The 12,560-nt window shown below is 46.0% G+C and overlaps 1 protein-coding gene across 3 annotated transcripts in view; it reads left to right on the forward strand.

Annotated features, from left to right (window-relative positions):
- Window positions 1-12,560, forward strand: part of RAD54L (RAD54 like) — a 30,786-nt gene that overhangs the window by 17,214 nt on the left and 1,012 nt on the right. For all 3 annotated transcript variants that reach the window (NM_001142548.2, NM_001370766.1, NM_003579.4), the window contains 8 exons: window positions 2,558-2,708; window positions 5,758-5,884; window positions 7,565-7,639; window positions 7,771-7,901; window positions 8,454-8,564; window positions 8,723-8,846; window positions 9,237-9,315; window positions 9,637-9,816. In NM_001142548.2, coding sequence (NP_001136020.1) covers window positions 2,558-2,708; window positions 5,758-5,884; window positions 7,565-7,639; window positions 7,771-7,901; window positions 8,454-8,564; window positions 8,723-8,846; window positions 9,237-9,315; window positions 9,637-9,816 — 978 coding nt within the window. The remainder of the gene's footprint in view (window positions 1-2,557; window positions 2,709-5,757; window positions 5,885-7,564; window positions 7,640-7,770; window positions 7,902-8,453; window positions 8,565-8,722; window positions 8,847-9,236; window positions 9,316-9,636; window positions 9,817-12,560) is intronic.

Below are 12,560 nucleotides of genomic sequence, written 5' to 3' on the forward strand. Positions count from 1 at the left end.
GGGAGCTGGGGTTGGCTTTCTCTTTTGCAGAGACAGGATAGTGTGGCAGCCCATTTCATTCGCTGGGTTATTTATTAAGTGCCTTTTATGTGTCAAGCCCTGGAGATCTCACAATGCTGTCCCTCAGGGAGCTTCAGTTTAGAAGATCTAATTGTTGGTGCCCATTTCCCCTGGACCTGTTGGGTAATTTCCTCTGACTTTCAAGTCTCATTTCCCTCTTCAGTTCAGAAGTCTAAGGCTTTTTTTAGGGCTAGTACTTGGAGCCTCTAATAATTTTTTTTTTCTTAATTAAATTTCTAGGCCAAATGCGGTGGCTTACACCTGTAATCCCAGGACTTTGAAAGGCTGAGATGGGCGGATCACTTGAGGTCAGGATTTCAAGACTAGCCTGGCCAACATGGTGAAACCCTGTTTCTACTAAAAATACAAAAGTTAGCCCGGCATAGTAACACATGCCTGTAATACCAGCAACTCAGGAAGCTGAGGCACAAGAATTGCTTGAACTGGGGAGGCAGGCACATGCCACCACACCCAGCTAATTTTTGTATTTTTAGTAGAGACAGGGTTTCACCATGTTGGCCAGGCTGGACGCAAACTCCTGACCTCAGGTGATCCACTTGCCTTAACCTCCCAAAGTGCTAGGATTACAGGCATGAGCCACCATGCCCCGTTGGTTTATTTAATCTTTAATAGCAACATTGGTCATTATTTCATTCTTTCATTCAACTAATATTCACTGAGCTTTGTCCTATACACTGAAATTATACAGGCGAATCTGACATAGTCTCTGCCTTAAGAAATCCTAGTCTCTGCCTAGTTGAGAAGATAAAGTACAGTAGAGTGTGATTAGTACTCTAGTATATATATTATGGATGAGGGCAGAGTGGTACAGTGTCCAGACTCAGAGTCATACAGACCTGAGTTCAAATCCCAGCTCTGCTACTTTCTACCGGCATGATTTTGGATAACTGTTTACCTCTCTGAATCTTAGTTTCTTCATCTCTAAAATGGATAATACAATTTCCATTCGTGTGGATTACAGAACAGAATACAGGTAAAGTGTTTAGTTAGTACCATGCCTACCACATTAAACGGGTTCACTAAATAGTAGCAGCCATTACGTATATAGTGCCACAGGAGCACAGAGTTGAGAGAGACAAGCAGCCTGGAGTCACTGAGGAAGGCTTTGCATAGGAGGTGACATCTGAGGAACTTGCCTGTGGAAAAGAGCTCTAGGCAGAGGGGTGGCATGGGCAAAGAGACATAAGGAAAGCCAGCATTAGGAGTGACAAGGTCAGGATTCCTGGACCGTGACAAGCTTGGAGAGTGTCAGAGAAGTTCACTGGGGCCTCATTGAGAAGGGCTTTGAATGCTAAGCTAGTGAGCTTAAAGAGCTTGGACTTGATGCTATAGATGGAAGAGTCAGTGAAGGGTCTGCATTTAATTGCGTTGTCAAAGCCTGACCCAAGGGAGCAAGACTGATTGCTGATTCTTGGTTGAGTGGTTGAGTTTTGTGTGCCTTCCCCAGTATGGGGCTGGATGTAGAAAAGGTATGGGCCTAATCTTGCCCATGTAGTTCTTGGAGAAAGAGGGAAGGTTGTCCTTTATGATTTTCTTGAAAAAGGCTTAAAAGAAGTAGTAGAGGTGTGGAGAGAATGGGAGGACAGGACAGGGAGAATAGAGATTGGGGAAGAGATGTGAAGGGAAGCAGAGGGAAGCTCTTTAGCTCTACTAGCTGTGAGGATTCTGGTGGGACATGGAGCCTGGTCCAAGTCCCTTTAACACTGATGGCCCAGACAAGGCCTGGAGTCTAATACAGAAGGCGTCTGGCTCAGAAGGTTCTGAGTTGGGTAGGCTGATGTGGAGGGGAGGACTCCCTGAAAGCATGGGTTTGTCATATGTCCACATGATCTCTGAAGAGTATAGGTGGGCTGCCAAGGCTCTGGAGGTGGGGCAGGGAAAGGGATGGAAAGGAACAGAGGGAATCTTTGCTTTATGGGTATAGCACTGGTCTGGAAACAGGAAGTCTGTCTTTTGAGCCTAATATTCTCCATAGTTAAGTGGGTGAACCCTCTCTCATGCTGCCCCCTGCCTAGTTCCCAAGGCCCTAGAACCTGTAATGTTTTTGTTTTTTGTTGAGACAGTTTCTCACTATGTCACTATAGTGGTGGCATATGCCTGTAGTCCCAGCTACTCAGGAGACTGAGGTGGGAGGATTGCAGTGCACTCACGGCTCACTGAAGCCTCGACCTCCTGGACTCAAGCGATCTTCCCATCTCAGCCTCCCAAGTAGCTGGGGCTATGGGTGTAAGCTACTATGCCCAGCTAATTTTTGTATGTTTTGTAGAGATGGGGTTTCACCACACTGGCCAGGCTGGTCTGGAACTCCTGGGCTCAAGTGATCCACCTGTCTCGGCCTCCCAAAGTGCTGGGATTACAGGCATGAGCCACGGCGCCCGGCCTGGAATGTTTTTGACTCCTCTTTTCCTGTCTACATGAGACTTTGCTACCGTATAGGGAATGCCACATTGCGCTCTGAATAAGGATTCTCTTGCAGGGACACAGGCTCAAGAACTCTGAGAATCAGACTTACCAAGCCCTGGACAGCTTGAACACCAGCCGGCGGGTGCTCATCTCCGGAACTCCCATCCAGAATGATCTGCTTGAGTATTTCAGCTTGGTACATTTTGTTAATTCCGGCATCCTAGGTAAGAATCTAGCCTTGTTTGCCACATCAGAGAGGAGCCCTGCCTTGTCTTTGGGAGTATAACTCCAGCTGAGGAGAGAAAGAAGAGAATGCTAGTTATATGTGGGTCACTAGGCATTCTTGTAGGAAGGCTTCTCTTGTCAGGGAGTAGCAAAGCCATTGGGAGGCCTTGGATCTGCTGAGCAACTCAGCAAAGCCCATGTTGGCCATTTTTCCATTGCAGAGGTGGCAGGGGCTATACAGGGAATGGTGTCATGATGAGCTGAGGGTGGAATTATTATTTTTGTTCCTCAGATCCTAGCTCCCTTAGAAGAGTTTTGGCCTCAGAGCAAGCTCTGTCTTGGGCAGACGTGTGTGTTTTAAAAATCATTTTAACCATTTTTAAATGTAACAATTCAGTGGTATTAAGTACATTCACTTTGTGCAACCATCACCATCATCCATCTTCAGATTTTTTTTTTCTATTTGCTAAACTTAAAATCTACCCAATAACTCCTCTACCCTCCCCTCCCAGTGCTTTGAGAGGCTGGGGTGGGAAGATCACTTGAGGCCAGTTCAAGACCAGCCTGGGCAACATAGTGAGACCTTGTCTCTACAAAATAAGAAAATTAGCTGGGTGTGGTGGTGTGTGCTGGTGGTCCTAGCTATTCAGGAGGCTGTGATCATGCCACTGCACTCTAGCCTGGGCAACAGAGCAAGGCCCTGTCTCTAAAATAGTAATAATAATCAAAACTCCTCATTCCTCCCTCCCCTAATCCCTGGCAACCACACATATATTTGTGAAAGGGTGTGTTAGTGTCACCCCAACTTGCCAGTGCTCAAGAGTAGGCAGAGAACCTGCTGAGTGGCAAGATTATGACCAAGTGAACACATTTGTGTAACCACCATCAGATGAATTACTAACACTCTCTCAGCAGCCCCTTTTCTAATCACTATCCTCTCCTTTTGTCCCGGCAGCAAACTCCTTCCTGACACTATAGGTTGGTTTTGCCTATTTTTGAATTTATGTTAATGAAATCATATAGTATGTATTCCTTTACATCTGGTTTCTTTTGTTCAACATGTTTATAAAGTTTATCCACATTATGTGTAGCAGTAGTTTGTTCATTTTCATAATTGCATACTATTGCATGTTATGAGTACACTACAATTTATTCTACTGGTTTGGTTTTGTTTGTTGAGACAGAGTCTCTGTTGCCCAGGCTGGAGTACAGCGTTGCAGTCATAGCTCACTGTACCCTCAACTTCCTGGGCTCAAGCAATCCTCCCACTTTGGCCTCCTGAGTAGCTGGGACTACAGGCATATGCCACCACTATTGGCTAACTTTTAAATTTTTTATAGAGATGGGGTCTCATATGTTGCTCAGGCTGGTCTTGAATTCCTGGGTTCAAATGATTCTCTTGTATCAGCCTCCCAAACTGCTGGAATTATGGGCATGAGCCCCTATGCCTGGCTTCCATCTTTTTCTGTTTGGATATCTGGTTCACCCTACATCATATATTGAAAAAACCGTTCTTTCCCCCATTGCTTTGCAGTGCTACCTTCTTCATAAATCAAATGTTCATATATGTGTTGCTCTATTTATGGACTCTATTCTGTTCCTCTGGTCCGTTTGTCTCCTTGTGTCAGTACTTCTCTGCTTTATTTACTGTGGCCTAATAAGTCTTGATATCCATTAGTGTGAATATTCCAACTATAGTCTTTTTTTTTTTTTTTTGACACAGGGTCTCGCTTTGTCACCCAGGCTGGAATGCAGTGGTGAGATCATGGCTCACTGCAGCCTTAACTTCCGGGCTCTAGTGATCCTCCTGCCTCAGCCTCCTGAGTAGCTGGGACAACAGGCACACACCATCATGCCTGGCTAATTTTTGTATTTTGGGTAGAGGTGGGGTTTTGCCATGTTGCCCAGGCTGGTCTTGAACTCTTGAGCTCAAGCAATCTGCTCAGCCTCCAACTATATTCTTACTCCTTAACATTGTCCTAGATATTCTTGGCCCTTTGCATTCCCATGTAAATTTTAGAATCAACTTGTCAATTTATACACCTACTGCCTGCCATACCCACCAAAAAACTCTAACTGGATTTTAATTGGGCTGTATTGAAACAGATAAATTCTGAAAGATCTTTCATTTTTATAATACGGAACCTTCCAATATATTAATATGATCTGTCTCTCAACTTGTTTAGGTCATCTTTAATTTCTCTCAATGTGGCCAGGTGTGGTGGCTCACAACTGTAATCCCAGCACTTTGGGAGACCAAGGCGGGAGGGTACCTTGAGCCCAGGAGTTCAAGACCAGCCTGGGCAACATGGCAAAATCCCATCTCTACAAAAAAAATACAAAAGTTAGCTGAGTGTGGTGGCATGTGCCTGTAGTCCCAGCTACTTGGGAGGTTGAGGCTGTGGTGAGCCATGATTGCCCCATTGCATTCCAGCCTGGGCGACAGGGAGAGAACCTGTCTCAAAAAAAAAAAAATTGGCCGGGCACGGTGGCTCATGCCTGTAATCCCAGCACTTTGGGAGGCTGAGGCGGGCAGATCGCGAGATCAGGAGTTCGAGACCAGCGTGGCCAACATGGTGAAACCCCGTCTCTACTAGAAATACAAAAATTACCTGGGCACGGAGAAGGGGTGCCTGTAATCCCAACTACTCGGGAGGCTGAGGCAGGAGAATTGCCTGAACCTGGGAGGCAGAGGTTGCAGTGAGCCGAGATTGCACTCCAGCCTGGGTGACAGAGCAAGACTCCATTGCAGGAAAAAAAAAAAATCCACTCTGGCCATGTTTGTCTTTTTAGTGGACTATTCAATCCATTTACATTTACTCTAAGTAATTATATATTTGGATTTTAACCTATCATCTCACTTTTGGCCTTTCAAGTCTTCACTGCTTTGATACCTCTCTGATCTGTTAAACAGAAATTGGCCTATATTTTGTTTAGCCTTGTTCTTGGTAGGAAGGCTGGTTTGTGAGAAGGTAGTCTGCCATCACTAGCTGTGGGAAAATCATTCCTTTTCCACATTCTTCTGTTTTCCTTCTCTCCTGTGTTTAGGGACTGCCCATGAATTCAAGAAGCATTTTGAATTGCCAATTTTGAAGGGTCGAGACGCTGCTGCTAGTGAGGCAGACAGGCAGCTAGGAGAGGAGCGGCTGCGGGAGCTCACCAGCATTGTGAATAGGTAATGACCTTAAGCGAAGTCATTAGAATTGCCTCCCAAACCATCCATGGCCAATCCTTTGGGGGCTTTGCCTCTCTAGAGCCCTCAAAGGCTGGGATTCTAGGAAGGGAGTGGGTTCTGTGTCCTAACTATGGCCACTGAATAAACAAGGGAGTCTTGGAGGTGAAGTGCCTGCTTTCTTTCTGGCTTGGGCTCTGTGGTCTGGTTTTGGTCTGTTTATCAGCCTGCTGAGGAAGCTTTTCTCTGATGCTGCTGGACTTCTTGAGCAAAGTATACCTTGGAGCATTACTAGTATTTCAGAAGCTTCCTGTCAGTTGGTCTCAGACCCGAAACATTAGGCTTCTCTTCCCAGGCCCCATAGTCATTCTGTGACAGGTAGGAGAAGATCTGAAAGGTGGTTGTGGCTCCCAGGCTAAGGGGACTGACTTTTTCATGGGAGTTACATAACCCAGAGGGTAGGCACATTCTGGACTCCTTTGTCCAGAGGTGGTATGCACACTTGATAGGTTACATTCTAAAGAGTCCTCCTGCCCTTCCCAACAACTGCCTGGCTACCTGGCTACCTCTCCCTACCAATTTTAGATGGCAGGACGGGCATGGTGGCTCACGCCTATAATCCCACCACTTTGGGAAGCTGAGGCGAGTGGATCACTTGAGGTAAGGAGTTCGAGACCAGCCTGGCCAACATGGGGAAACTCCCATCTCTACTAAATATACAGAAATTAGCTGGGTGTGGTTGGGGTGCACCTGTAGTCCCGGTTACTCTGGAGGGAGAGGCTGGAGAATCGCTTGAACTCGAGAGGCAGAGGTTGGAGTGAGCTGAGCTGCGCCACTGCACCCCAGCCTGGGTGACAGAGCAAGACTCCGTCTCAAAAAAAAAAAATTAGATGGCAGGAAGAAGAATTGGTGTTTTCTTAAGATCTGCTTCTTAGGTGCCTGATACCTATCCTTCATAGTCTTCCCAGGAGGTCTATGCTTAATTTCATTTAGCCTGGGGCCATGTAGCAGCGGGCATTTGGACAAATGCAAGCAGAAACTCCCCTAAGGACTTAGTAATTTACAACTTGCTTTTCCTGTTAGAGCTCCTGTATCAATGGGAAGCCTCAGTCTTCTCTTGAAGACTAGGCAACCTATTGAAGGGGAAGAGAAAGTGCTGCCTGTCTAAGCTAGCATGTTTGGAAGGTCTCTGTTCCCACAATTGAGACCCTGATACAGATGTGTTTGACATAGGTCTGATGACTTTTTTTTTTTTTTTTTTTTTTTTTTTTTTTTTTGAGATGGAGTCTTGCTCTTGTTGCCCAAGCTGGAATGCAATGGGGCGATCTCGGCTCACTGCAACCTCCACCTCCTGGGTTCAAGTGATTCTCCTGCCTCAGCTTCCCGAGTAGCTGGGTTTACAGGTGCCTGCCACCACACTTGGCTAATTTTCGTATTTTTAGTAGAGATGGGGTTTCTCCATTTTGGCCAGGCTGGTCTTGAACTCCTGACCACAGGTGATCCGCCCGCCTCAGCTTCCCAAAGTGCTGGGATTACTGGCGTGAGCCACTGCGCCTGGCCGAGTCTCTGACATTTAATACTGTAAAAGAGGGCTAGTCTTGGTCCTTTGGGTGGTAGCTTTTATTCCAGTAGTTAGCATGGCAATTTTACCAGCCTCTTGCCTTTTTATCCTGTTTTCTCTAGATGCCTGATACGGAGGACTTCTGATATCCTTTCTAAATATCTGCCTGTGAAGATTGAGCAGGTCGTTTGTTGTAGGTACTGAACTCAACTGAAAGATGTGGAGTGGGTCAAAGCCTAGCTCCTGAAGCATGGCTGGGCTCTCAAGGTGTTCTCAGAGGGCAGGAGGGTGGTCTAGCTTTTTCCACTGACCCAGCTGCCTTTTTTAGGCTGACACCCCTTCAGACTGAGTTATACAAGAGGTTTCTGAGACAAGCCAAACCGGCAGAAGAATTGCTTGAGGGCAAGATGAGTGTGTCTTCCCTTTCTTCCATCACCTCGCTAAAGAAGCTTTGTAATCGTGAGTTGGGCTTGTGTCCTGGTGTCCTCTGTGAGAGTGAGCAAGGGAGGGTAGGTTCCTGTAGTGGCCTGGCAACCCTCACTAAAACTCGTCCAGAGTCATCCTCATAGAGGCCACATGTGATTCCAACCCTACCCAAGGCATGAACCCTGCATTGTGGAGTCTGTTTACCAGACCCTTTGCTTTGGAAAATTGAACTCATCTTCTGTCCAGCCCATGCTTGATGACCTGGGATGTGTCGACTGTTTGTGAGTGCTTGCATGTACACACGCTCATATACAATGTTGGGCAGGAGGAAAAATAACAAAGAAACCTTGCCTGCTCTGTTATAGCTCCCTTCTTGTTGGGAGAACACATTAGTGAGTGAGATTGTCCATCCATCGTCCCAGATGGCACCGACTATATCCTGTTGGAATTTGGTAGGATGAAGATCAAGCAAGTCTGATGTTGAGGAAGGCCTTTTGGGCTAGGCTTCTAGAGGGAGTTCTAGTGAACACTGAAGTGGAAACTTCAGAAAGCAAAGTATCTGGGTTTTGTTTTGTTTTCTCCCAGATCCAGCTCTAATCTATGATAAGTGTGTGGAAGAGGAGGATGGCTTTGTGGGTGCCTTGGACCTCTTCCCTCCTGGTTACAGCTCTAAGGCCCTGGAGCCCCAGCTGTCAGGTGACCCTTTTCCTACCAGTATTTGGGCTTCTCTAGGAGGAGGGTGGGAGATTTTTTTTTGTGCTAGGGCTGTCCTGTTTCAAGGCAGGATATCAAGAGTAAGAAGCCTGGGCCATTGGGACAGCCAGTAGGGGACTGCTGGTTGCTGCTCTTCCCAGGTAAGATGCTGGTCCTGGATTATATTCTGGCGGTGACCCGAAGCCGTAGCAGTGACAAAGTAGTGCTGGTGTCGAATTACACCCAGACTTTGGATCTCTTTGAGAAGCTGTGCCGTGCCCGAAGGTAGGGAAGATCCTAACCAGGATGCCAAAGGGGGATATACCCCTCCCCTACTGTCTGTCTAGTTCTGATTTGTGGATGTGGGCCAAGATCTGGGCACATAAGGGCTTTCCCTGGAGATATCTTCCCTTATTGCTATGATGGCCTCAGCTCTATCTCCAAGTAGAAGATCCCCTAGTCCTTCAGGTACTCCCTTAGGAAAGAGTCTTGGCCTCTAGCTCCCTGCCCCTGCCTTTGGGAGCTTAGGGCCTCAAGCATGGTTATTTCAGTCCCTTCAGTGGCTCTCCAAGGGACTCTGCTTTCTTGGGTCTTTTTAAAAAAATTTTTATTTTTAATTTTTTTTCCCCCTAATCATTGAAGCTTTATTTTCTTGGGTCTCGAATCCCCCTTCAGGTACTTATACGTCCGCCTGGATGGCACGATGTCCATTAAGAAGCGAGCCAAGGTTGTAGAACGCTTCAATAGTCCATCGGTAAATGCACATCCCCGTCCCCACACCACCAATGCAGTATCATCAGAATTAAGGAATGATAGAGAAGCTATAAGGGGTTACCTTGATTTTTTTTTTTTTTAATTCCCCTAGTGGATATAGTAGGATTTGTCTGGTTGGTGATGGCTGGGCTGGAAACTGACTGTGTGTGTTGGGATTGGCTGGCTGGTGAGCAGATAAACTGGTGGTTTTCACAATTGGTACTGAGTAGTATAGAGGCATGAGGGAGGAGCTGGTTGGGCTGAGCAGGATCCCAGTTTAGGCTATAAGAGGTTCCTTTTCTCCTGTTTCTTCTCTTTCCAGAGCCCTGACTTTGTCTTCATGCTGAGCAGCAAAGCTGGGGGCTGTGGCCTCAATCTCATTGGGGCTAACCGGCTGGTCATGTTTGACCCTGACTGGAACCCAGCCAATGATGAACAAGCCATGGCCCGGGTCTGGCGAGATGGTCAAAAGAAGACTTGCTATATCTACCGCCTGCTGTCTGTAAGGATGGTGATAGTAGTCATAGTAGGGGTGGGTCATGGAACGAGATCTTCAGGACCATCTTGTTCCTTAGTGCCTCTCTTTGGCCTTTCTGCCTCTAGCAGTAGCCAAGCTATGGGCCCAGAAGTGAGTCTTTTATTCTTCTGTTCTCCCTCCCCTTCTCTCCACCCCATTCCCTCAAACCATTCTTACTGTGCCATCTGGACACCTGTTCAGTACATCCTTTTCACAGGACACCTGCTTCCCTCATACATGATTTCTGCTGTGTCACTGGCCTTGTAGTCTTCTCTCATCCCCTGTCCTATTTGCATTCTCCAAGTTATAAATTATCACCTTCAGACCATCCGTCCCATAGTTCCTTTCTTGCAGCTTATGTCGTTGGACTTGACTACACTCTTTTCTTCCTTGCTGCAGTCCTCTATCCTCTGCTATATTCCTAATTCATTGATGACTTTGGACATTAGCTCAGCCTTCATTTCTTTCCCAAATCCAGCAATCATACTGGCTGACGTTGAGGACCATGTGGTTATCCAGCACTCTGGCCTTCATGTTTCCTTGACCTCATCTCAACCCCGCTTCGTCTAATTATTCCTAAGATCACACCGTGGAACTTGTTAGAACCCAGAACCTTAATAACTGTCATTCTACTTTCACTTCTTGTCCTCCTAGCTTTCACATACCTGCTGTATCTGCTTCAGCCTAATGTTCCTGTAGCCTCTCCCCTTCCCACCCTCCCACTCATCTGGCTTGACTTCCTTGTTTATTTAGCCCAGTCTTCACTGTGCATCCTTTCAGCTACTCTTTTCCCAATACCCATTCCAATTGGATTATTTGAGCTGTTTTCAGCTTCTACACCAGCTACATTGCATTTACATGTTGGTACTACCACAAATTCATGTTCTCTTTTTGAGGTGGGCCATATCTCATTTCCTTCAACCATTTCAAGCATCTACCATTTCTCTCAAATTTCCTACCTAACTCATCTTCTTTCTACTCACTCATCAGACTCCTTATACCACTGAACCTACCTTCAAATATACTACTGAATTCCTAATTGCCAAAACAGGAGACTATGAATTTTTCCTCTTCGTGTATCTCACACTGTTGACTACTAATCCCTTAAAAAATGCTCTTCTAGGCTGGGTGCTGGAGGATCACTTGAGGCTAAGAGTTCGAGGCTATAGTGAGCTAGGATTGTGCCACTCTAGCCTGGGTGACAGAACAGGATCCCGTCTTAAAAAAAAAAAAAATTTTTTTTCTCGTCTTTGGAAACTCCACTCTGGTTCTTCTACCTCTCTGATTACTCATTATACTGACAAATCTCTAACTATAAAATTTTAGCCCAGATCTCTTACCTGAGCTCTAAATCCCTATTTCTACCACTTAATCTACATTTCCACTTAGATTTCTAATGAGCACTTTAGAAGTATCATGACTAAACTCATTCCCCTTCCTTCTGATTGATTAACTGATTGATTTTGAGACACTTTCTTTCTGTTGCCTAAGCTGGAGTATAGTGGCACGATCATGGACCACTGCAGCTTCAACCTCCCACCTCAACCCCCTGAAGTAGCTGGGGCTACAGGTGTGTGCCACCACACCCGGATAACTTTTTTTCTTTATTTTTTGTAGAGAAGGGGTCTTGCTATGTTGCCTAGGCTGGTCTCGAACATCTGGACTCAAGCGATCCACCTTGGCCTTCCCAAGTGCTGGGATTAACGGCATGAGCCACCACACCTGGCTCCCCTTCTGAATGTTGTTCTTAATGGCTCCATTATCCACCCAACCCAAAACTGGGAATAATCTTACTGGACTATTCTTTTCTCCTAATAACCAGATTCCCACCAGTTTTCACTGATTTTTACCTTCTTGAAATTTCCTTAATCTAACCTTGCTCTCCAAGCCCTCCTGAGGTCATGGTCATCTGTCACTTGGATATTGCAGCAGCTTCCTAATTGTTTACTTCTGTCTTATCCCAACCCATTGTTCACATACTGCTTCCAGAAGGAGCTTTCCAAAAATTCAGATTTTATTTTTCGTCTCTTCGAAGACAAGATTAAGGCCTTCAGCATGGCATCCAAGGTTTGTTTTTTGTTTTTTGAGATGGAGTCTTGCTCTTGCTGCCCAGGCTGGAGTGCAATGGCACCATCTCAGCTCACTGCAACCTCTGCTTCCCGGGTTCAAGCGATTCTCCTGCTTCTCCTGAGTAGCTGGGATTACAGGTGCCCACCACTACCCCTGGCTAATTTTTGTATTTTTAGTAGAGACAGGGTTTTGCCATGTTGGTCAGGCTGGTCTCGAACTCCTGACTTTGTGATCTGCCTGCCTCGGCCTCCAAAATTGCAGGGATTACAGGCGTGAGCCACCGTGCCTGTCCCCAAGGTTCTTTAATGTGGCCTCTGCTGACTTCCCAGTCTCAGCTCTTACTATACTCCCACCAACCTCCAGTTAGCCTGAACTACTCACAGTCCTCCAATAGGCCAGTAGTATTCCTTTGTTCCTATGCTGGGAATACCTTTCTTTGTGTCTTTTCTTACAAACCATCTACTCATTTTCAAGATTGAGCTCAAGGATAGAGTTTCAAGTTTTCAATACTGTTCTACTCTACCATCCTTATGGACTCGCAGTTACCCTGTATAGATTTCTATCATTGTATCAACTGTTTAAATGTTTGTCTAGGAGCTAAAGGATAGGGGATATATATGATTCTTTTTTGTATGCTAATGTCAGCACAGGGTCTGGAA

Source organism: Homo sapiens, chromosome 1 (assembly GCF_000001405.40).
Source record: "Homo sapiens chromosome 1, GRCh38.p14 Primary Assembly".
NCBI lineage: Eukaryota > Metazoa > Chordata > Mammalia > Primates > Hominidae > Homo > Homo sapiens.